The following is a 23,180-nucleotide window of genomic DNA, read 5'->3' on the forward strand; positions in this document are numbered from 1 at the left end:
TCAGCTCTCAGCTCAGATGTTCCTTCCTTAAATGAGTTCATCATTCCCCAGTCTAGGTCAGGCCCCCTGGGTGTATCTTCTCAGAACACCTTGCTCCCACCCCTCTGTAGTATTTATGTCAGTTTGTAATTAGACATGTGGCTATGTGATCATTTGATTGACCTCTGTCTCTCCTGTGAGACTGTGACCACTTCGAGGGCAGGGCCTGTATCTGTTTTTGATGAGTGTTGTTTGCTCAGTACTCAGCATGGTTCTGGGCACATCCAAGGTTCTCACTAAATATTTGTTGGCTGACTGGGCGGCTGAGCATGTGCTTCCTAAACTTTTTGTAGTGCTACATGGCTATATGTCTGTTCTTCCATCTCTTATAAAGTAGAAGTAGAGAATGGATTCATCTGAAGAAACCACTGTCCTTACAAACTATATGCCTATACCTATTATAGCTTTTCCAGTTTTTAAAAGAATTGATCTGATTACTAATTAGTGCTCTTCCAGGCGGATGTTAACTCCTCCATGGCTGCTGGAATGTTAAAATTCTATATGGACGTCAGAAGAAGAGGGGGTCTTATCAAATTCACGTGTCTTCTTTTATAAATGGGCAAACAGAGGCCTAGAGAAGAAGACTTTCCCAGGTCCTAGAGGTAGTTAATGGCAAAGGTAGAATCTGAATGCAATTCTTTTTCAGATCAGTACCTAATTCCTTTACTCATGTAAGTATCAAATCACTCTGGGTTCTCTGGGCCTGCAGCAACAATTAGGGGCAGCTGTCTAAGATGTGTTCGGTGTGTGAGGTTGTGGTGGTAAGAAGTTGAAAGTCTGTGACAATAAGTTTCCATCCATTAAACAGTTATGAATCTATTTTGTACTCCTTGGGTACCTTAAGTTTAGGAATTGGGAATGATAGTGAGGGTGGCTTAGATATTTTTGTCTTAGGGGAAGATTTCTGCCTTGGAGTGTTTTCAGACAGAATGGTGTTTCTATTTTGTCTCTGATCCATGAGTGTCACAGTGTTATAAAGCATAGTTTGGCCTGCCTTCCCACTGCAGTACCCCTACAGGAGCAACACCTTCCAGAAACCTTATAAAAGAGAGGAGAGGGGCCAGGCGCGGTGGCTCACGCCTGTAATCCCAGCACTTTGGGAGGCCGAGATGGGCGGATCACTAGGTCAGTAGTTCAAGACCAGCCTGGCCAACATGGTGAAACCCTGTCTCTACTAAAAATACAAAAATTAGCTGGGCGTGGTGAGGCTGAGGCAGGAGAATCACTTGAATCTGGGAGGCTGAGGCTGCAGTGAGCAGAGATCGCGCCACTGTGCTCCAGCCTGGGCGACAGAGCAAGACTCTGTCTCAAAAAAAAAAAAAAAAAAAAAAAAGAAAAAAAAAGAAAAAAAAGAGAGAGAGGAGGAAGTTGAGCACTTTGCTCAGAAGGACATCATCCTGCCCATTCTGGTCCTTACCTCTAAAACGTGCCACTGACTCTCAATCCTCCCCATACTCCGTGTGTTTTGTGCATTTTGGATGCACAGCTGCATCACACATGAAGATGCAGTTGCTTCCTCCCACCCTGGATTCATGCTACTTCCACTATGACTGTCATTTACATGTGCCCCTCTTAGCTCATAGACTAAGGGAGAAGGGAAAGGGAGTGGGTGCGAGCAACTGCGTCCAGCCTTGCCCCCGGTTCCCTAAGTCAGCTGTTGGCGAACTATGTGGATCCAGGACTCTTTTACATCTTCAAAGTTATAGAGGACCCCCAAAGAGCTTTCACTTATGTGGGTTATATATACATATATATGTATATAGTTATATATACATATATATGTATATAGTTATATATACATATATATGTATATAGTTATATATACATATATATGTATATAGTTATATATACATATATATGTATATGTTATATATACATATATATGTATATGTTATATATACATATATATGTATATAGTTATATATACATATATATGTATATAGTTATATATACATATATGTGTAAACATTTATCATATTAGAAAGTAAAACTGATAAATTTTTAAAAATACCTCCTATGACATCTTTTTAAAGTCATAAACAATAATAAACCCTTACATGTTAACATGGCATTTTTAAATGAGATGTAACTATTTTCCAAACCAAAACACATTTAGTGAGAAGAGTGGCAGTGTTCTGCATTTTTTTCCAAGCATTTTTAACTCTCTGGCTTGATAGAAGCAGGATCCTCACAACTGCTCTTACATGCGGTCTGTTGTAATATGCCGTTTTAGTTGGAGCATAAGAATTTTCCCCTGGAAAAGGGAAGACCTCTCAGGGTTTCTCAGACCACCCTTAGAGAATGAATGCTGTAAGTGTTTCACAGAAATCTCTGGGTGAGGACAAGTAGGAGGAGAATGATCAAAGTGTGGCCTCAGAGGCAGGTGCAGAGGATGTACCCAAAGGGCACCTGGCTTGGGTAGACAAGGGAGAAGCCTACTGCTGTATTCTTTATTCAGAGTTTCCAAATAGCCAGGGTGGTCTTTCAGTTTAGCAGCTCCTGTGAGCCTCTCACATGTCACGGAAGCTACAGTGCCTCACAAGCGGTGTTTGTGGTTTCAAGTCAAAACCCATGGGAGTTCTGGGGTTGATTTGCCAGTGACCTGTCATTACTGTAAACCCCTTCTCCAAGGGGCCCCAGGCCTAGGACTAGGTTCTAGAGGCTGGGTGTGGTCAAGGGGCACAGAGCTGTTGGACAGGCTCTACTGCAGGCTTATTTTGGGCTCTGCTTTCTTCTTCTGCCTTTTATTCTCCTCTCTCCCTCCTCTTTAATTCTAAGGGGCATTAAAAACCCTGCTTAGTCTTTGGTAACTCTTGTGCTTTCTCAGTTTTTAGAACAACATTGAAAATAAAAACAGACATTTCCTAGCCCCACTGGCCAGAATTTGTCCAATTAAATCAATATCATTGGCTTGCCATTCTCGTCTCATCCCATGCAGATTTGCCTGGCACACACAGTAGGTGAGCTCTAAGTGCTCTGGTGAACTTAGAAATCATTTTATAAGGAGGGCACCCTTTTAGGAACTGGGTCAGACATTGTGTGGTCATATTAAAGCTCAATCCCTGGTTGCCCACCTGATTGTGGGAGACCATCTATAGAAGGAGGGGAAAAAGAAACTCCTTTTCCCAGGGTGCTGGACTAAGAACTCCAGAGGCCCTAAGTTGTCTCGACCTTCAGATGTAGTTCAAAATAGTTTAAGGAGGCCCAACAAGGTTCTGATACTCTTTTGATGATTTTAAAAGTATTCTTTTTAAGATTAAAATACTTAAAATACAAGGAATACTTTCTAAACAGTATTATTCTTTCAAGTAATTAAGGAGAATCTGTTTGTACCTTGGCTTTTGGGTGATCTGAGACTGTTCCCAGCAAGAACCTTGAATTCAGGTGCCTCAAGCAGTGGGTTGGATATAAATTGGTATCAGGTAGTCAACTGGTTTCACGAAAGCGGCTAAGGGTTGTGCACTTGAGCCTCTCTTATGTGGCAGACCTTATATACCTCTGACAGCAAAGGCTGGAAGTGCCTTCCCCACTTTGCTCAACCCCCAGCCCTACCCTGGGTCCAAGTGTTCTGTTATTGGAAACCCCAAGATGTGCTCTGTCTTTGGGCTTGTCTTTGCAGCAGAGCATGGTGGTTAAGTGTGCGGGCCCTGGAGTCGGACTGGGTTTGCAACCCAGCTCTGCCCTTTCCCATCTGTGTGACCTTGGGCAAGTTTCTGAGCCTCCCTGTGCGGCAGTATCTATATACAATTGGAGATGATAATTGGTGCTGTCGTAGTGTTGCAAGGGCGGAATGAGTGACTGTACACAATGCTTGGATGAATACTTGACATACAGCAAGTAGCCAGCCCACCTGAAGTGTAGTGGTTGATGTTTTTCCTTGGGAATACTCAGCTGCTAAAAGCTAAGTATGTCTCTTCGTGGATCTGAAGACTTGGAACAGACCAATTTCAACTCCAATATTCTGAGGATGTTACAGGGAGACAGAGAAGTCAGTCTCATAGTAGAAAGACTGACTGGCTCAGGCATTTAGGAGGCCTAGTTTCCAGCCCTGGACCTTCTACTATGAGATCCCAAACAAGTTCCTTTTCATCCCTTGGCCTTGCTTTCCGCATCAATAATCCAAGGGCTTGCCAGAGTTGTTTTTCTAAGAAGATTTCCAAAGCTAATGCCCTTAAATTTTGTGATTCCCCTATCTCTCCTCCCAGCCTGCCCCTTCTGTTCCCCTCGGCAGGAGCGAGCGAACATGAGTGGTTCTGATACATATTTTCCTTCCTTTCCAAATCCACCAGGTCAGCACAAGACCAGGCCCTGTCAGCCTCTTCTAGCTCATAGCTTCTGCCCAGCCCTGGAAGTGCCATTCTGTAAGAGAAACAAAACCTTTTCCTCCGGCAGCTTTTGCGTGTGTTCACCTGTATTTCCTTCTCGCAATCCTGGCCCCCAGCACTTTGAGGTTGCAGTTTCGTTGTGAGTCAGGCCTGCTGAGAGCAGTGGAAATCAGAAGAGCCTCCACTTGGTAGGGGAGGACGTGATGCTGCCTTTTCCTCAAGAGCATGGCCCCGGGGGCGGCGGGGGTGTGGAAGGGAGGTGGTCACCTTCCGGAAGTGGATTTCTCACATTGACTGTTTCAGGGAGAAAAGAAGATTACTGGAAAGCCCTAGAAAGCGCTTCACATCTCTTTCAGAAAGAACTTTGCGTTCTCAAGCAATTATCTGCACCACGCAGTAAAATGTCTGTGTTGCGTTGATGCCTGCGCGACGCAGGCCTATGCCGAGGAGGAAGTGTTGTTGGTGTACTTGGCTCCTGACGTGGGACTCAGATAATAAATTCCCTTGAGAGAGGTGACCATGGGATCCTGGATTCCCGTGGCAGAGCACAGTGAGGCCAGTCTGGGTGCTGGTTCAGTCCCAGGAGTTGCCAGCTGCTACGGGCTTTGAAGTATTAAAGTCCCCCAATGCCTCCATTGTATCCCATGGGAAAAGGCGAGCAGGCAGGGAGGAATGGCCAGTGCTAGAAACAGGATATCTGACCCCTGTGAAAACCACTGTGGATGAATACTCGGGTCATGCAGGCTCTGGATCAGCAGATTCTTGGATCCTTGAAGGAGGGTCCATGCAGGTAGACTTCAGGTAGACTGAAGACCCATGGAACACAAACATATATATAATGCAAAAGAACACATACACCACCCCCAATTTAGAAGTGCCTGTTTTCTATGGACTTGAGTGGCAACCATTGGCACTTCCTTAACCGTGCTTGTGAGAAATCCTTTACGAAATCACCAGCAACTTCTAGAGAGTCAGGAGGTCAAATACAGTGGTGGGAAAGAAGCCATGAAAATAACACTGAAATCCCTGGGTGGTTCTAATCCTGGAAGCTGAGTTCCTGTGGGGCTGATCTGTGAGCTGGGACAGGTGGGGAGGAGAGTAGGTCATCTGGGAGCATGTGGTTAAGCAGAGCAGAAGGTTAGCATTTCAATGGAGGGCTTACAGCCCCTCAGAGGGGAAAGTGCAGAGGGACCTCCAGAGAGGGCAGCCAGGGAGAGGGAGCAGAGTGTGACAGAAGTTGACCCAAGACGACCTCGACTATTTCAGATGTTGCCTGAGGCTGTTCATATGTCCAGTAGGAGAAAGAAGCTGTCCTTTGTAAATCTCATAGACCCCCAGCTCCCAAGAACCTGAACTAAGTTTGGTCCTATTTATAGTGTAACCCCTGCTTTGTAGGCTGTGAATGAATCAACATTTATAAGTAGAGTTTCTACAGAGATGTTGCTCCAGTTTCCAAAAAAGTGACTTACAGACATCTGTACAAAATTGGAAAGCTACCTGCACCGAAGTGTATAAACATATATCTGGTCAAAGGGGTCACAGGATGTAAACTGTGTGTTAGGGAGGGGTGGTGACGGGGACTTGGGGTGGGGAAGTGAAAGGGGAGGGATATAGGACATCCTTAGAGGGTATCATGAGCAAGCTGGCCTCACCAAAGCTCTGCCATTGGAATCCAGAATCCCATGTACATCTTTACCAAAGATACCCTATCATATCTGTAAGATGGAAAACATAATGATACTTACCTGCTGGCTATGAGAAAAAAATGGGAAAAATGCTTGTCATAGTGCACGGTTTATAGCAAGCACTCAATGACTTTTACCTGACAAGCCATTGCTTACTCTGCAATGACTGTAACTGTACTGAGACTACTACAGCTACTACGGCCAGTACTATCACGACAGCTATGACTGTTGATATCACCACAATTTCTCTTTCTCTTCTGGGCTTCCTGAAATGACTGAACATCCAAAGATTGGTGCAAGTGGAGGGAGAGTTAGTGTCCCCACAGTCCTTTCTGTGTGAGTGAGGGTTGGCTGGGGACTACAAGGCAAGGTTCTTGGTGGAGTGGGAAGCAGGAGCTTCTGGTCACTGTGACCATAGCTGGGGCTGCTGTTTCATTTCAGGTAAAATCAGAGGGCTTTAGAGTAAACAGGAGGGGAGGAGGAGAGACTGAGTTGCAGCAGCCCACGTTGAGCCAGAACTTGCTTCTCTATTGGCTGCAGTGGTGGGAAAATTGAGGTTGAGGCTGCTATTGCCACTGTAACCAAGGTGCGGGCCTGTGGAAATGGTGCAAGGGATGCTGAGCTCTTCATATTGACCTCACCCTTCTCCCCAGTACTTCCCAGCCTAGCTGAGCTAAAGGCCACATGGAGGTTTATTCAGCTGTAGTTACTGCCATCAACATTCTGAGAACAACAAATTAACATGTTAAATTCTGCTCTCCAGCCCCCAAGCCACCGGAGAACAGAACGCATTCTTAAAGTCTTAGTTTTTCCAAACCACCAAGCCAGGTTCACTTTTCAAAGCACTCATTTTATCAGCAAAACTCCACTCTCACAAAGCCCAGGGCTTTCAGAACACAGCCCAACCTAGCTTGACATTTGCACTCCCAAATGCCTTCACAGCTTTCCTTCCCACAGGTTCTCTCCACAAGATCTCTGACCAAAACACGGGGGCTCTCACTATTGTCAGAATATGCCCTGTGCTCTCCCACGTCCTTACTTCCACTCATGGCTTCACTGGCCTGCAATGACCACCCTTCCTTTTCACCAACAGAATTCTTTCAATTCAGCACTGCCTCTTCCATGAGCCTTCCTTTAACAACCTGACTCCACTGAGATTTCATTTTTAAAAAAATCCTCCAGTGCTTATGACCATCCTTGGCAGTACTTTGTGTACCCTGCCTTAGAGTTGTGAGATGTCTTTGCCTGCATGGATGCATGTGTGCACATATGCATATGTGTGGGTGTATTGTGTGTATTTCATCCCTGTGGACTGGACACATGTTTTATATATGCCAGAGATAGAGAGGAGATGCAGTCTAGCTTGGTGTGAATATTTTGCTCATTTTGACTAAGGCACAGGTTTACGATTCTCAAATGGTAAAGACCTAGGTCCGGGAAAAGGAGGCCTGGGTTTCGGTCTTTCTTCTGTGTGACTGTGGAGATGTCTTCCACCTTCAATGAGTCTTGATTTCTGTCTCTGTGAAATGGAGAGACTCCTCAGTTCTTTCTCCTGCTTTACAGAGGATCAAAGAGATTTGTCAATAGGTTGAAATACTTTAAAGCCATAAAATAGCTAAATACATGAAAGAGCCCCTCTGTGGTCTTGTCTTTGACTCAAGAAGGGAGGCTCTGGTGGCTTTTCTCAGAACCAGCAGTAGGACTAGGATCCAGGAGTTTCTCCTCTCCAGCCATGCCACATACCACCAAGCTACACAATCTTTTCCTGGGCTGCGTTATCCTTTCCACTGCACCATGTGGTGCAGCCCCATCAGGTCTCGCTTTCCTTTCCACCAGCCACATTCATAGCCATGGGAATCCGTGTTTTTCAGCAAGCTTCCTTCTAAAATCCCCCTCTGCCCAGAGTTCCTGGGGACCCTGTGGACCTTCCTTCCTTGTGACATGGTTGGGGAAACACACTGGTCTGCAGACCTCTTATTCATCTTCACGATCCCGGAGGTGGCTTGAGCAATCTTATCTGTTGTGTGAGTGTGCTCACATGTGTGTGCGTGTGTGACTCTTTGCAGCTGTTCTATGACTAACTGATGCCAGCTATCTGATACTGTATACTGTGTGCCCACCATATGCTATAGACTAAGACATGTCCTGACCCAAGCCCTAGACCCCAAGCAAGGCCAATGGCAAACTACTACCTGTCTTAGTTGGTTTCCCCTATTGCTCTTTGATGTCTTACTATATACAAGACACTTCATATTGTTTCATTTTAAGTTTTACAACAATCTAAAGATTTGATCCAATCATTGAATCTATTTTATAGTAGCGCAAAATAAGGCTCAAGTCTCCTGATAATCAGTTCATTCCTTTACCCATATCTCCATGCAGAGACAAATAATGTGACGCTAATAATTAACTTTTTTTTTTTATCTCAAGAGCTTTAGAGGTACAAGTGATTTTTGGTTACATGGATGAACTGTACAGTGGTGAAATCTAGGATTTTAGTGCGCCTCATCCAGGCCTCTGACACCTCATCCCCTTCCCTCATTGCCCCTCACTGCCCCAGGACCAGATTAGTTGAGGCAGAAGCAGTTGGAGGTGCTAGAAAAGCATTAGGGTTTTCACCATCTCCAGAATCTGCTTAGCACATGTCTCAACCTAAGGCAGTGCAGGCAGGATGGAGGCAAGAGCCTTGATTCCATAGCGGTTTCTCTTAGCACAGATTCCAGAAAGTTGAGGATGACATGATAGATGACCCTTGATATCTTTCTTCATTCCTTTTTGCTAAGTTATTCTCTGTTGTGTGGTGCCTGTGTGTGTAAGGCATTTCTAGGCAGAGGAGCTTTCCTGGGTCTGGTCAGTTTTACCATCTCATCTGCTGATCAAGATATAAAAGATGGACAGTGTCTGTTGTTTCCACCAATAATCAGATACCAGTCAGAATGCTAGAGTGACCTTTTCCTTTTCCGCCTTGGAAAGAAAGAGATTGTTTCAAGGAACAGCTGTAGGGTTAGATAGAGAGGACTGACTGGAAAGTGATTTGATGATCTGAAGTCCTGGCATTCCATGAAGGTTGCTCTGGGCTTATAGTACAGTACGAGAGATCTTTGTTGAACTGAAGAAGATGCTCTGACCATTAGGGTCATTAGACACTATGGAACCTTCTCACTGAAGTTCCCTTTTTGGAAACTACTAAACATTGTACCCAACAGGTAATTTTAAATCCCTTATCCCCTGCCCTTCTGAGGATCCAGTGACCATTATACCACCCCTTATGCCTTTGTGAATCCATAGCTTAGCTCCCACTTGTAAGTGAGAACATGGGTGTTTGGTTTTTGATTCCTGAGTTATATCACCTAGAATAATGGCCTCCAGTTCCATCCAAGTTGCTGCAAAGGACATTATTTTATACTTTTTTATGGCTGAGTGGTACTCCATGGTGTATATATGCCATATTTTCTTTTTTTATGTTTCAGTAGTTTTTTTCGACTTTTAAGCTCGGGATGCATGTGCAGGTTTGTTACATAGGTAACCTTGTGTCATGGGGGTTTGTTGTCTTACTAATAACTAATGGGTATTAAGCCTAGTACCCATTAATTATTTTTCCTGATCCTTTCCCTCCTCCCACCCTCCAATAGGCCCAGTGTATGTTGTTCCCCTCTATGTGTCCATGTGTTCTCATCAATGAGCTCCGACTTACAAGTGAGAACATGTGGCATTTGGTTTTCTGTTCCTGTGTTAGTTTGCTAAGGATAATGGCCTTCAGCTCCTTTCATGTCCCTGCAAAGGATATGATCTCATTCTTTTTTCACTAATTTGTTGGTGGACACTTAGGTTAGTTCCATATCTTTCCAATTGTGAATTGTGCTGCAGTAAACATATATGTGCAGTTAGTTGTCTTTTTGATATATATAGTGACTTCTTTTCCTTTAAGTAGATACCCAGTAGTGGGATTGCAGGATTGAGTGGTAAATGTGCTTTTAGTTTTTTGAAAAATCTCCATACTCTTTTCCATAAAGGTTGTACTAATATACATTCCTACCAGCAGTGTATAAGCGTTCCCTTTTCACCACTTCCACACCGGCATCTATTGTTTCTTGACTTTTTAATAATGGCCTTTCTGGCTGGGGTAAGGTGGTATCTCATTGTGGTTCTTCCAATAATTTTTAAAAGGCTGAAAAATGTCATCAGGGCACGGTCCTCTCATTGTGCCATCCTCTCAGTATCCCAGAAAAAAAACTGAGCCCCATGGCACGTTCTGTTTCTGTCTCTGATTGTGGCCTGCTTATGGTCATTCCTTCCCCGTCTACTGCAGGGGAAGGAAAATACCCAGCACCTCCCAGGTAGAAAAAGAGGGAAAAAATGTAAAATGTAAAAACCCAAGCTCGGCAACTATAGAAGATAAACAACGTTGAGTCTCAGTATGGTTCATCGGCAGAATTTTCCCCAGAGCCAACGGCCTGTGTCAGAGCTATATTTTCCACTCCGGCTACTGTGATTTGGTTGTGGCACTCTTGGTTTCTTTCATTTTGGTGGAGACAGACTCTGACGCAAGTTTAAGGCTCTGGCAGGTGTCTGGGGGTTTACGAACTTGTCCGGGCCTCTGACACCTCATCCCCTTCCCCCATTGCCCCCCACTGCCCAGGACCAGATTAGCGGAGGCAGAAGCAGTTAGAGGTGCTGGAAAGTTGTTAGGGTTTTCACCATCTCCAGAATCTGCTTAGCACATGCCTCAACCTAAGGCAGTGCAGGCAGGACGCAGGCAAGAGCCTCAATTCCATAGGGGTTTCTTTTAGCACAGATTCCAGAAAGTTGAGGATGACATGATAGATGACCTTTGATATCTTTCTTCATTCTTTTTTGCTAAGTTATTCTCTGTTGTGTGGTGCCTGTGTGTGTAAGGCATTTCTAGGCAGAGGGGCTTTCCCACATCTGGTCAGTTTTACCACCTCATTTGCTGATCAAGATACGAAGATGGACCGTGTATGTTGTATCCACCAATAAACAGATACCAGTCAGAATGCCAGAGTGAACTTTTCCTTTTCCTTCTTGGTAAGAAAGAGATTGTTTCAAGGGACAACTGTAGAGTTAGACAGAGAGGACTAATTGGAAAGTCATTTGTTCATTATCAGGATGGAGCTGGGCAAATTCCCAGCAGCTCTGCTGCTGGGTATGACCAGGAGGTCCTTAGGTTTTTTTTTTTTTTTTTTTAGATGGAGTTTCGGTCTTGTTGACCAGGCTGGAGTACAATGGCATGATCTTGGCTCACTGCAACCTCCACCTCCTGGGTTCAAGCGGTTCTTCTGCCTCAGCCTCCTGAGAAGCTGGGATCACAGGCGCCGGCCATCATGCCCAGCTAATTTTTGTATTTTTAGTAGAGATGGGGTTTCACCATGTTGGCCAGGCTGGTCTCGAACTCCTGGCCTCAAGTGATCTGCCCGCCTTGGCCTCCCAAAGTGCTGGGATTACAGGCATGAGCCACCATGCCCAGTCCCTATGTTTTGACTTTGGCTGTCTGCACACTGTGCTCAGTCCCAAAGCTTCCTGTGCCCCATGCCCAGCCCCAGTGGCCTCTCACTAGCGTTTTGGCTTTCAAAGCCTCAGTGTGGTTTCCTTCACCAAAACTTCACCCTCATCAGAGGCTCCTTTCTCCTCCCCCTGTAAAAGCCCCGTTTTCTTAAAGGTAACTGGCCAACTGAACACTTTTAAAAATAGGTTGTAACTGCACCTCTCACCATCCCAGAAAAAGACTTGTAGTTTTCACTGGTAATATCCCAGACAGGGTGTCTAAGTAAATTGGAATGTTCCTGGTCCTGTGCATGTGTGTGTGTGTGTGCATTTAACTGTGGGTGGGGAGGCCCTGGGTCTTCCCAGGCTGGTTGGATTTATCATCTCTTCTGCCTTTCCCAACATTTAAGATGGGCAGTGCCACTCACGGGCAGATGCCCACTTCTCTGGAATTGCCCCATCCTGGTAATATTTGTGGCTTCTGAAGGCTGAGTCTGAGATGCCTTCTCTTGGTTCCAAGATTCTGAGAAAGCCTGGGGAACAGCATAAAAATTCCACCCTGGAAATAGTATACAAGCAAACCAACTGCCCACCCACTTCCTGAGTGAACATTGCTGAGTGTTCCTGAGTCAGGGGCAGACCTAAATTCCTTAACCATCTTTTTCTTCCCTTTCCCAACCTGGCACGGCCTCATACCCCTCTGCCCCTCCATTAAAGGCTGTATTTATGAGCAGTGATGGATGCTCCCTGACAGGGCCACCCTAGAAAAAATTGTGTAATGACAAAAACATGATGCTCTGATTGACCCTTTGTGGTTTAGTACATTCACAATCCCCCCACCCCGCCTTTTTTTTTCTGAGATGGAGTCTTGCTCTGTCGCACATGCTGGGGTGGAATTGCATGATCTTGGCTCACTGCAAACTCCGCTTCCTGGGTTCAAGTGATTCTCCTGCCTCAGCCTCCCGAGTAGCTGGGATTAGAGGTGCATGCCACCACGCCCAGCTAATTTTTGTATTTTTAGTAGAGACAGGGTTTCACCATGTTGGCCAGGATGGTCTCGATCTCCTGACCTCATGATCCACCCGCCTCAGCCTCCTAAAGTGCTGGGATTACGGAAGTGAGCCACTATGCCTGGCTAGATGTATGTACCTCTCTTAAGCCCATCTTATAGGTGAGGAATCTGAGTTCAGAGAGGTAATGTGCCCAATCCAAGCCTACACAGCTGATAAGTGTCAGAACCAGGATTGAATCCTGGGCAGTGTGGCTGCAGAGGCCACACTCTGCTGTCCCTTAACAGAGCTATGGGGAACTAATTGGCATATAATTAGCTGAAATGAAGTACTTCGTGGTGCCTGGCACAAAGGTACCACAATAAATATTAGTTCCCTTGCCCCAAGAATGGTTTGCATTTTAATGACTGTGGAATGAAGGGCTTTCAGGATCCATTAGAGTTAGAAGGATTTGCATCTGAGTGCATGAATGCGCTTGTGGGACACCCACGCAAGCCACTGACAATCCTCAGGGTTGGTCAGCCCCATCCTCAGAGGTTTATACCTGGAGCTAAATCCCGACGGGGACTTCTGCCGATGACTTTTATAGCTTCTGACATTTCAGTCTCTTCATCTCAGGGAGCTGGTTCTCTGAGGACTTTGGGGGTAACAGTTTTAAAAATAATGTAAGGCAGCTGGTGATGGCTGCTTTAGGGGCAGCACGTGAGCTGGGCCCCAGGAGGGGAAAGCCATGAATCAGGGGTCATGTAGCAAGACAGGGCTTTCCTACGGGCTGGATTTGGTCAGCATGGGCCCCTGGTTCCCTTGAGGGATTCCCCGACTGTGCGGCCTGGCAGTCGTGCTCTGATCGAATGCCTCCGATTCCCCCAGCCGGCCTGACTCACCCTGCATCGCTCAGACCTCTGTCAAGGTGCTGCTCGGAGAGTCAAAGAGGCTGCAGCAGGCAATCCCCTTGCCCACTGCAAGGCTGGTTGGGAGGCTGAACAAAATGGCACATCCTCTCAAGTCCAGAAAGGTTGGGCCTTCCTTTCACCCTCCATTTTATGCCTGGAACCTCAAACAACAGAAAAAAACACGAGGCAGAAAAAAATAATTATAATAATTATTAATGCTTTCTGAACCTCTAACGCCACTCGATTAGTCACAGTCATAGTTCGAGTGCTTGTTATGATAACACCTCGGTGGCTTCCTTAACTGTTGGTAGTGATTAATGGCATCATCTGGTCGAAGGGCTAGGGAGGAGTGTGCCTGTTGACAAGAAAGAGGGGCTGAGTAGCAGGGGAAGGAGAGTGGGGACAGGGAGGTGTGGGTGGAAGCCTGGGCTAAGGCTAGCGTTACAGCACCTGAGTCAAGAGGGCAGATCCCTAAGTTAGAGACCACCACTTAATGTTCCAAAGACATCTAGGGACTCCTGGGTCATGGCTCTTCAGGTGGTGGATGGGCAATGTTCTCTAGTACCTTGGACACCATGGCCAGGCCAATCTCATTTCATCACCATCACCTTCAAGTTATTCCCCAGTTTGGTCATTGGGAGAGACTTCTCATTGGCCACCAGAACAACTCTAAATTCATATGAACCTTTCAGTTTCCCCACCTGCAACTTGGAAATAAAGATACTGCTGCTCTTATTGGGAGGATAAAATGAAATAACAGATGGAAAGTTCCTGGCACGGCATACAGTAGGCACTCAATGCGTGGTGGTTTATTTCACTCTATTTCTGTCTACGGTCCGTCACATCTTACACTTCATTGTCTGTCACCTGTTCCATGACTCCTGCCCTGCCTCCCACACATTCACTGATTCCCATGACCCCGTGTCCCTCCTTTGTGAAGCCTCTTCCCACTGTTCCAGCTCACGTCGACACCCCCTCTCTGAGCTCTTATACTATGGTTGGCCCCGGGTCCTCCTGTTGGGTCCTCCCTACTTGTAGCATGGGTGTAAGTTTCATCTTCTCACGTAGATTTTAGCTTCTCAAGTTCAGGAACTGGGCTCATTGCTTCTTTTGATTCTCATGCCTGACAAGTCACAAGGTGAGCAATAGGTTCTTTAGAAGAGACCTGCGAGGTGGGTAGGGGTGGGTGTGTGGCAATGGAAAGTTACCCAAAGTAATGGGGAAACCATCTGGGGCACTTCTGTTTGGGGATTTCCCTGGACCACATTTTGTGACCTGTACCAAGCCCGGTGCTTTGTCAAGCTGGAATCCTGCTATGCTCCCCACTTTCCATACCTATTTCTGCCCATGGCACTCATGTGAATTGGCAAAAGTGCTGTGGGATGGAAAATATTGGAATCTCAGGGAAAAGGGTCAGTGAGTGCATCCTTCAGGGCAGGATGTGGGGTCCCAAAACTGCTTTGTGCCTGGCAGATCACCCAAACACTTCCTCCATTTCCCCATGCCAGCTAAAGCAACCTTGGCTGTTATGCTCTGGCCCAGGTGTCTTTCAGGGCCTTTCATTCTCCACACAAAAAGCTTAGGCATAGGGGCCAGTCTAGATCCAGACACAAGGGCCAGCTGGAGAATTGGGAAGTACAGTAACACCTGGCCACCAAGGCTGGTACAGTTCAGCCTGACAACAGTCTGAGGGCAGTAGTCTGTTGTGAAAGGGGACAGATATGTCACCTTGAAGCTGCAGCACTTTTCTAGACCAAGCCCACCTTCTTGAACATTTCAGTCTCTTTGCATCCAGCTGGGTGTATTCTGTCATATACACAAGTTGCCTTTGGCTCTGAGGCTGCTTTATAAGAACTAGTCCTGGATGGTGTTTGGTCAGGGATGAGGTTTGAGTTTGCTCAGCCCAAGCAGGTATGCTTAAATTACTCTCAGATTGGATGCCTCAAGAGCCTGGCCTACTCCTCTCCTACTGACCATCTGTTTTCTACTCAACCCAAGCCAACTCACCATTTGACTCCTTCCCACACCTTTAGGATTGTGAACTGTAGAATGCTGGAGTTGGAAGGAGCTGTAGAGACTAGCTAGTCTACCTTCTTCCTCATTCTATGGATGGGCAGACAGACCCAAGACTTGGGGCGATTTGCTATGAGCTTCTTACAGCCTCTGCATACTACACATGGATAACTGTTTACCTTCCTGCTCCTGGATCAGAGCCTGCCCTCAAGTTATCCCCCATAGCCCACTCTTGTTCCATCAGTTGTGTCTGAATCAAAGACTCCCTTCTTTTTATTCCTTCTATTAACAGCCTTAAAACTCACCTTCCCCAAGAAGAAGCCTTCTTTGATTAATTCAGTTCATTTTTGTATGAGGATTTTCCAGAGAAACAGAACCAATATAAATATATATATGTGTGTGTGTGTGTGTGTGTGTGTGTGTGTGTATGATTTATTATAAGGTATAAGGTATGGCTCACATGATTATGGAGGCTGAGAAGCCCCATGATCACCTGTCTGCAGCTGGAGACCCAGGAAAGCCGATGGTATAGTTCGAAGGCCAGTTGGAGAGTCCCATGGTCTAGATTCTAGTTCAGGTCTGAAGGCCTAAGAACCAGAAGCTCCCAGGCAGGAGAAGATGGATGTTTCAGTCCAAGCAGTCAGGCAGAAAAGGGGAATTCTCCTTTCCCCTACTTTTTTGTTCTACTGTTACGCTTTGTAGATCAGACCATGCCCACTTACACTGGCAGGGGCAATCTGCTTCACTCGGTCCACAACTTCAAATGCTAATCTCTTCCAGAAACATTCTCACAGGCACACCCAGAAATCATGCTTAACCAGACATCTGGAAATCCTGTGATTCAGTCAGGTTGACCATAAATTAGCCATCACAATCCTCCATTCTTTACGAGGCTGGTGGCTTGTACTATGTTAATTTTCACTTACCATTGTTTTTCCCCCATGAGTTCCTGTAGGATTACAGCCATACACCAAGTAATGGTGTCTGTCAATAATGGACCACATATATGATGGTGGTCTCATAAGATTATGATGCTGTATTTTACTATACCTTTTCTATGTTTAGATATGTTTAGATACACAAATAACCTACCATCATGTTACAATTGTCTGCAATATTCAGTACAGCATCATGCTGTACAGGTTTGTAGCCTAGGAGCAATAGGCCTTACTGTATGGCCTATCTTATTGTGTAAATACACTCTATGATGTTTGCACAATGACAAAACCTCCTAATAAGGCATCTCCCAGAACATATCCCCACCGTTAAGTGACACATGACTGTATTTTAATGTGTTCTATATCACCTTCATTAGTCTGGCAGCTTCCTCCACCATTCTGGGAGGCCCAGACAGTAATGGCTGTCTTGTGATCTTTGTCTGGATTCTCACCCTTTGTCCAGCCCAGGACTACAGACTCAGGGATGTTCACAGCCCAGTAAATGGGAAGTATTGCTCGAAAACCGGATCACAAAGCCTCCTTGTGCTGAGGCTGGGGTAAGACTTGGAGGAAGAAGAACCTTCCCTGACTCCTTCGCTGGGGTCAGCCTCTAAGGGTCAGGGCTCACTCCCTGCAGTGTAGAGACTTTGCTGCGGGACAGGATGTGAACATCCTTGGCTTTTGCATGGTCAAGTTAAGTCACTTGTCCGGGGTCATAGTGACACAATCATTGCCAAACCTGTTCATTTCACCAGGGCCCCATGGGATTTTGCCAAGTCAGTCCTCCTTTGTACTTTCTTGCTCAACTGGTGTAGAATTCTCAGGCAGGAAGGGAATTCATGGCGGAGGGTGGGGTGAGGTGGAGGTCATGTCGTACATCCTCCTAAGCAGACACATGGACGTCAGAGGCACCAGAGGGTTTCCACATTGACCTGCAGTCACCCATTTACACATCCCCCACCTCCGAGAGTTCAGGTATTCTTGCAAATGTCTCCATTTCTGCTACTGTAGCTTATCCTGAGCCCTTTACTGTTTTTCCTGGAAAACAAGAAAATGTTTGGGAATTTGTATATTGGGAATGGGCAGGTGTCTACATTCATTTGCTTTAAAAAATTATTTGAAACATTGCCCTTTAAATGGAAAAATCATTTTCCTGATCTTTTTTCTCAAGGACATTTCCTGCTGCCTCCTCCAGACCTACTCTTATCACTCACAAACCCTAGAGGTTCCGTGGCCAAAGGAGGACAGCAGCTGGCCATTTCAGACTATGTCCCCACAGGGATCAGGACTCCCTGGGACATGATGGGAGTCTGGAGAAGGTGTCGTGGTTGGCAGGAAGTGCCACATTCAGGGATATTGACTTCTGGCTCTTTCTCCACGTGACTATGAGATGAAGCAATTTCTGAAGAGGGTTAAGATAAAAACCTTAGATGTCATCCAACCTAATCCCTGATTTTACAGGCAGAAGAAGTGGATTTCAGAGCTAGCTAGTGGCAGAGCCGTGACTCACAGGCCACAGACCTCCTGACAGGCAGTCCTTTCTCAGAGAGCCCAGCACCTTCTGTGTTTGGTTGTGTTGAGGTGGAGTTGAAGGAGGAAGCATGGCACACCTGCTGTAGGTCATGGGGACAGATGACATTCCCCAGACCTCTTGCTGCCTAGTTCCTCTTTTAATTTTTTTTGAGATGGGGTCTCACTATATTGCCCAGGCTGGAGTGCAATGGCTCTTCATTCATAGGTGCGATCATAGTGCACTGCAGCTGCCTAGTTCACATTCTTCACCTGGCCCGTTGTTCCATCCAGTCTTGACCTCGCTAGCCTGCAGGGGGCGTGTGCAAGCCCACACTACAGCCCAGGCATCCCCTCTGCAAGGGAAGTGGTGCTGTTGTGGACCTGCAGTCCTTGGGGGGCTTCAATTTGTATAGAAATGACAAGGACAGAGCAAAGGAAAGTGGGATTTAATTTTAAGCGCCCACCTTCCCACCCCCAAGTCAATTTCCTGTGACGCTAATAAAAGCTTCAGGATCTCTTACTTTCATTAGTCCTTTCCACAGCCAAAGTAATTATATACACATTTTTTTTTCTTAAAAGACAGTTCTCCCTCCCATTATATATGCCTCTGGGCCCCATAAAATCTGGCCACCCTCTTCCCCGACCCGATTTACCAAATGTCAGAGTCCCACAGCGCACCGAGAAACACCACTGTCCTCCTGGAGCTCTCCCACACAATACAGGCCTTGACTGAGGGTGTGATTCGGTTCAGAGTAGCTGGGTTGAATTTTTGTAAAGAGGTTGCCGTGTGTGCACTTTTGCCGACCTCAAAGCCACCAGAAGGAGGGAGCTGAGTGTACCTTTTTGTAATGATGACTCTCTATGATTTTCTCCATAGAGCGGTGCTTGCACACACTGACAGGAGTCCAAGAATGTGCACTGAGGGAGCGTTTCCGCACAGATCTGCGTGTTCCTTACCACTCACACATGTGCACACACATATCCATGTGTGTGTGCCAGTGCTTTGGGGCTCTGTTCCACGGGGTAAGTAATTTCTGCTATAGGGACCCTGGATGTGGAGCCATTCTCTGGGACCAGAGATATCCAGTTTATTTCAAGACTCTGGAAGACTGGGTTTTCAGACACCTATGAACTGACAGGACTGCCTTTGTCTGTCATAAAGTTCCTTATTGCCAGACTGCTGGCCAGGTTTAGGGGAGAAGGGGGGGTCACCATACTGGAGATGCTGAGGGTGAGTGAGGGAGTGTAGGGTGGAAAGGCAGACAAATAAACCATATCTGCATACCCCTTCCCCATCAGCTCCCATACTGGTCATGGCCCATTTCTTCACACAACAAGAGTCTTCACCAAGGTTGCTAGCTGCAATGGTACAGTCCAGCTAGCTGCAGCAAAAAGGGGGAATTTACTGTAAGGAGCCTGGGGTGTCTCAGAATATCCATGGGATGGAAGCTGCTGCACGACACAGAGGGACTGGAACCAGGAGCAGAAGTCATCAGAAAGCCAGAACTCAGCTTCTCGCTCTCTGAGGCCACGTAGTCACTCCTTTCTGCTTTTCTTGGCAGCTTTCTCTGCATCTCTGAGCAGTTTGCAGAGGACTGCAACTGCACAGCTCTAGAGGCTACCAGTCTTTAATTCAAGGGACCAGCCAAGACTGACTAGTGCTCTAAAGTCCCAAGACCAAATTACTGGGAGACAGAGACTAACAGAACAGCTTAGGTCAGTTGTCCACTTTCCAATCAGCTATAGCCAGGAGACCAGGGTCACATGGCTGCCTGTGGACCAAGGTCAGGGTGGAAAACATCATCAATGGTGTCCCAAGTTAAATGGCTTGTCCTCTGTGAAGACCCTCTGATCAATCCTATGGAGGAAGTGACCTCTCTCCTGAATACCCACAGCACTTTCTCTTCTTGACATGTATTGCTTTCTATCTTGTGTACTATTATTTTTACAAACATCTCATCCCCTCTCCCACTTATCTATAAGCAAGTTTGTTTATCTCCATATATTTCACAGCTTGCACAAAAAAAGATATATTTAATAATTATCCAAAGTCATTGATAATCTTCAGATAAATCAATTTTCAGGAACTTAAGCAACTTGGCCAAGTGTTTCATTTCACTGAATTGTCCAGGCTTGATTAAATGCAATTAATTCAACCAATTTTTATTGAGTGCCTTCTACACACCAGACTGCTGAGGACACAACACTGAACAAGACAAAGTCCATACCCCATTGAGCTTCCAGTGTAGTGGTGAAGACCATCAATCAGTCAACACCGTTTCCTCTAAACTAGGCTTTCAGCTGGGTGCCAAGGATAGAAATGTGTAAGTCTCCAGCATTGCCCTGGAGGAGTTGTCTCCCTGGGGCAGGGCAGTGGTGGTGGGGTAGGGGGGAAGGTCACAGATGAATGCTCCGATATGTTGCTGTGCAACATGACAGTATTATTAGTTAAGGGTTGGGGAGGAAGTGCCGTAAGACCCCAAAGAGAGAGTGATTTACCACCTGGAGGAGGAGGGTGTGGTCAAGGGAGGTTTTGCTAAGAACAGTGACACATGACTGAACTTGAAGGGTGAATAGGAGTTTGCCAGGGAGAGTGGGAGTTGAGTATGTGAGTGTGCATGTGTTTAGGAAACCGGGATGGGGAAAGGAGACAGGAATGATGGTGATCAAGCCCTTCCAGATGAAGTCATTTATCTGGAAAAAGATTTTAGGCATTGTGAAAGAGCTGCTGTGTCTGGAGGAAGGTGAGACATTTAGTATATCTGGAACACAAAAAATATGGGGAAAAGAATGGGGAGATTGGCCCTGGCCCCTCCTGGCCGTGTGTGTTAAGTCCGGGAGGCAGTGGGTAAGTAGCCACTGCCAATTGCCTTGGGGTCTGGAAGGCAATGATGTTGGCTGGGCATGAGGACCAGGCACAGCCTGGAGACCAACCACCTCTGGCCAGAAACATATTCCAGAAGGCCTTAGGATGAGACATTACTCCTGCCTGTGGTCGTTGACCTCTGGCTTATGGAGCGAGATGGCTGCATGCTGAGATTCTGGTGAAATTTGTCACTCCCAAATTGCAACCTTCCTCAGAAAGCACTGGATCTTCTAACTTTCACTCTCTCCCTAGTAGAGTGGGATTTTCTAAATTTTGCAATTGAATTTAAGAAATCAAAGAAAGTTGTCCATTCGTAGTTTAAAAAAAAAAAAAAACCACAGATGTCTGCCTCCAGACCCCTGTGTCCTTTGAATTACAAGCCTGTAGCCCATGGCCTTCTAGCCAATGATATGAGTGGGACTAGAGATGAGGGATTTCCATGGACTGCTCCTGCTCTGGAATGTTCCTTGGAGATGACAGATCTGCTCTCCACTGTCCTCATGTGCCTGGAGGCGGGGGGTGGAATGGAGGCAACTTCCTGGACCTTTCCCTGGCCAGACTCAAGGCCATTGGCACCTGGTCCTTGTCTCTTTCCAGCTCTGTCTCTGTGCCCTCCCCATTCCTGGTCAGCCTCCAGCACTGTTGGCCCAACTGCCTATCTCAGACCTCTATGGCTCTGGGTCAGTCTTAGACAAACTACTCCCTCTTCTCTCCCTGTCAAGCATCACTTATCCTTCCGGTCAAAGTTCTGTGTCTCTATAAAGGCTTCTCCATCCCACCTGAGTCAGACCCAAGAGCTCCCTCTTCTGTGCTGTCCCAGCACTTTTGAGTCACTTCTATTATTACCCCCACTTCCTTGGAGGACAGTTATCTGTTCTTATGTTCATATTGTTCTTATGTTCTTAAGTAGACTGAATTTCTTGGGGACTAGACCTTAATCATCTCTATATCCCTGGTCATGAGCAACAGTGCCTGACACATCACAGACTCACAATACATACTCTGTTTGTCAATGAAGGGTGATTACCTGGGTATCTTGACTGTTGGGATTGAGGTAGGATGAAGGCAGCTTTGGGAAGAACTCCAGTGAGCAGAAAAAGGGAAGGGACATTTGGGTGGAAGAAACAGTTTGAACGAAGGCACCTCCATAGAAAGGCATGGACAAACATGGGAGCTTGCAGGAAAGGAGGGGAAGGGGAGGCTGCAGCACAGGGGGCTCCCAGCATGGTCCTGGGCTCCTTGTGTGCATCAGTGAATGCACCAGGCCTTTGCAGAAACTTGATGTATTGGCACTGATCCATAGAGAAGGGAACAGAGGCCCAGGAAGGAAGGTCACACAGCTTATGAGTTGGTGATGGAGATGGGATTAGACCATTCCATTAGACTTTAAAACACATGGCTTATTGGGGCCCTAGAGAACACCTAGTAATTCAGGTTGCCTGGTGCCTACAGTAAGTCAGTAGGTTGTGAGAGGAAAGGTGTACATGACAGAATTATATTATTCATAATATCTGGGTGGTTTTTTTTTCTGCCTTCCATGTACCAAAACCTGGGCTAAGCATTTTTATATATTACCTCATCAAAACGAACAGCACCTTTATCAAGCGATTACCCCTATTTTACAGATAAGGAAACTAAATGTCAGAGAGTTCAATAATTTTCCCAAGATCACGAAGCCAATAAGTGATGGAGTCATGACTTAAATTCAGGTCTTTTGGTGACACAACCCAGACTAATTGGGAAAGAGCTTCATGGGTAAATCGTGAGTCATACTTAATTTCAATTCCTGGTGACATAATGAGGGTACAAATTTTCAATTTTTTTTTTCTTTTTTTTTTGCCATGGGCAAGTTCCAAGCCTGGGCTTCTCTTCCAACACTGTCCCTCCCTTCCCTGTATAGTTCTGCTCACTTGTCCTGTCTTCTTGCTCTGTCCTCTATGCCCACATGTATAGAACTGGATCCCCAATCAAGGCTAACTGCTAGCCTTAAAGAAAGACCAATCTTCTGGCAGATAAGAAGGACTGTTAAGGAAGACGAGGGGACAGGAAAGCAAGGGGAATGTCAAAGAAATAAGGGGCCTGGCCAATATCTCAAGAACAGAAGCAGCTGTGGCCCTGGAAGGGCGAGGGGGACGTCATTTCCTTTTCCAGATCCCTTTTTTCCTTTGAGGTTCAGTCCCAAATGGGTAAAGTTCAAATACTAGTCTTACTCAGAATTCCCTAGTCCTGCTTGCTCAAAAGGTGGATTTTCTGGCCTCACTCCAATCTTCAAAACATCTTTTTGTGGGGCTTGAGAGTCTGCCTTTTAAAATAGCACCCCAGAGAGTCTACACATTGAGGGCCTTGGCTTCTGTAATGCAGTTACATCCATGGGCTTTCGCTGTTGCTGCTGAGAGA

The 23,180-nt window shown here is 46.1% G+C and overlaps 1 protein-coding gene across 2 annotated transcripts in view, besides 9 other annotated features; it reads left to right on the top strand.

The window, feature by feature from the left end:
* IL19 (interleukin 19) overlaps nt 1-23,180 on the top strand; it is a 72,209-nt gene that overhangs the window by 9,294 nt on the left and 39,735 nt on the right. For both annotated transcript variants that reach the window (NM_153758.5, NM_001393490.1), the window contains exon 2: nt 18,795-18,940. The gene's annotated coding sequence lies outside the window, so the exon portion shown is untranslated. The remainder of the gene's footprint in view (nt 1-18,794; nt 18,941-23,180) is intronic.
* Nucleotides 4,278-4,337: an enhancer, noted in NCBI's record as "active region_2420". NCBI's record gives its function as "activates an Ori minimal core promoter by ATAC-STARR-seq in GM12878 lymphoblastoid cells {active_cell/tissue: GM12878}" and the evidence as "EXISTENCE:reporter gene assay evidence [ECO:0000049][PMID:35858748]".
* Nucleotides 11,032-11,131: an enhancer, noted in NCBI's record as "active region_2421". NCBI's record gives its function as "activates an Ori minimal core promoter by ATAC-STARR-seq in GM12878 lymphoblastoid cells {active_cell/tissue: GM12878}" and the evidence as "EXISTENCE:reporter gene assay evidence [ECO:0000049][PMID:35858748]".
* Nucleotides 11,315-11,434: an enhancer, noted in NCBI's record as "active region_2422". NCBI's record gives its function as "activates an Ori minimal core promoter by ATAC-STARR-seq in GM12878 lymphoblastoid cells {active_cell/tissue: GM12878}" and the evidence as "EXISTENCE:reporter gene assay evidence [ECO:0000049][PMID:35858748]".
* Nucleotides 13,117-13,617: a transcriptional cis regulatory region, noted in NCBI's record as "chr1:206966528-206967028 region (GRCh37/hg19 assembly coordinates) targeted for CRISPR interference". NCBI's record gives its function as "positively regulates IL10 gene expression in anti-CD40- and anti-IgM-stimulated BJAB lymphoma cells {active_cell/tissue: BJAB(+anti-IgM and anti-CD40 for 4hr)}" and the evidence as "EXISTENCE:mutant phenotype evidence [ECO:0000015][PMID:33828297]".
* Nucleotides 13,117-13,620: a biological region, named in NCBI's record as "CRISPRi-FlowFISH-validated IL10 regulatory elements GRCh37_chr1:206966528-206967028 and GRCh37_chr1:206966531-206967031". NCBI's record gives its function as "regulatory_interactions: IL10".
* Nucleotides 13,120-13,620: a transcriptional cis regulatory region, noted in NCBI's record as "chr1:206966531-206967031 region (GRCh37/hg19 assembly coordinates) targeted for CRISPR interference". NCBI's record gives its function as "positively regulates IL10 gene expression in BJAB lymphoma cells {active_cell/tissue: BJAB}" and the evidence as "EXISTENCE:mutant phenotype evidence [ECO:0000015][PMID:33828297]".
* Nucleotides 14,458-14,557: an enhancer, noted in NCBI's record as "active region_2423". NCBI's record gives its function as "activates an Ori minimal core promoter by ATAC-STARR-seq in GM12878 lymphoblastoid cells {active_cell/tissue: GM12878}" and the evidence as "EXISTENCE:reporter gene assay evidence [ECO:0000049][PMID:35858748]".
* Nucleotides 14,588-14,727: an enhancer, noted in NCBI's record as "active region_2424". NCBI's record gives its function as "activates an Ori minimal core promoter by ATAC-STARR-seq in GM12878 lymphoblastoid cells {active_cell/tissue: GM12878}" and the evidence as "EXISTENCE:reporter gene assay evidence [ECO:0000049][PMID:35858748]".
* Nucleotides 23,112-23,161: an enhancer, noted in NCBI's record as "active region_2425". NCBI's record gives its function as "activates an Ori minimal core promoter by ATAC-STARR-seq in GM12878 lymphoblastoid cells {active_cell/tissue: GM12878}" and the evidence as "EXISTENCE:reporter gene assay evidence [ECO:0000049][PMID:35858748]".

The sequence above is a fragment of the Homo sapiens genome, chromosome 1, assembly GCF_000001405.40.
Source record: "Homo sapiens chromosome 1, GRCh38.p14 Primary Assembly".
NCBI lineage: Eukaryota > Metazoa > Chordata > Mammalia > Primates > Hominidae > Homo > Homo sapiens.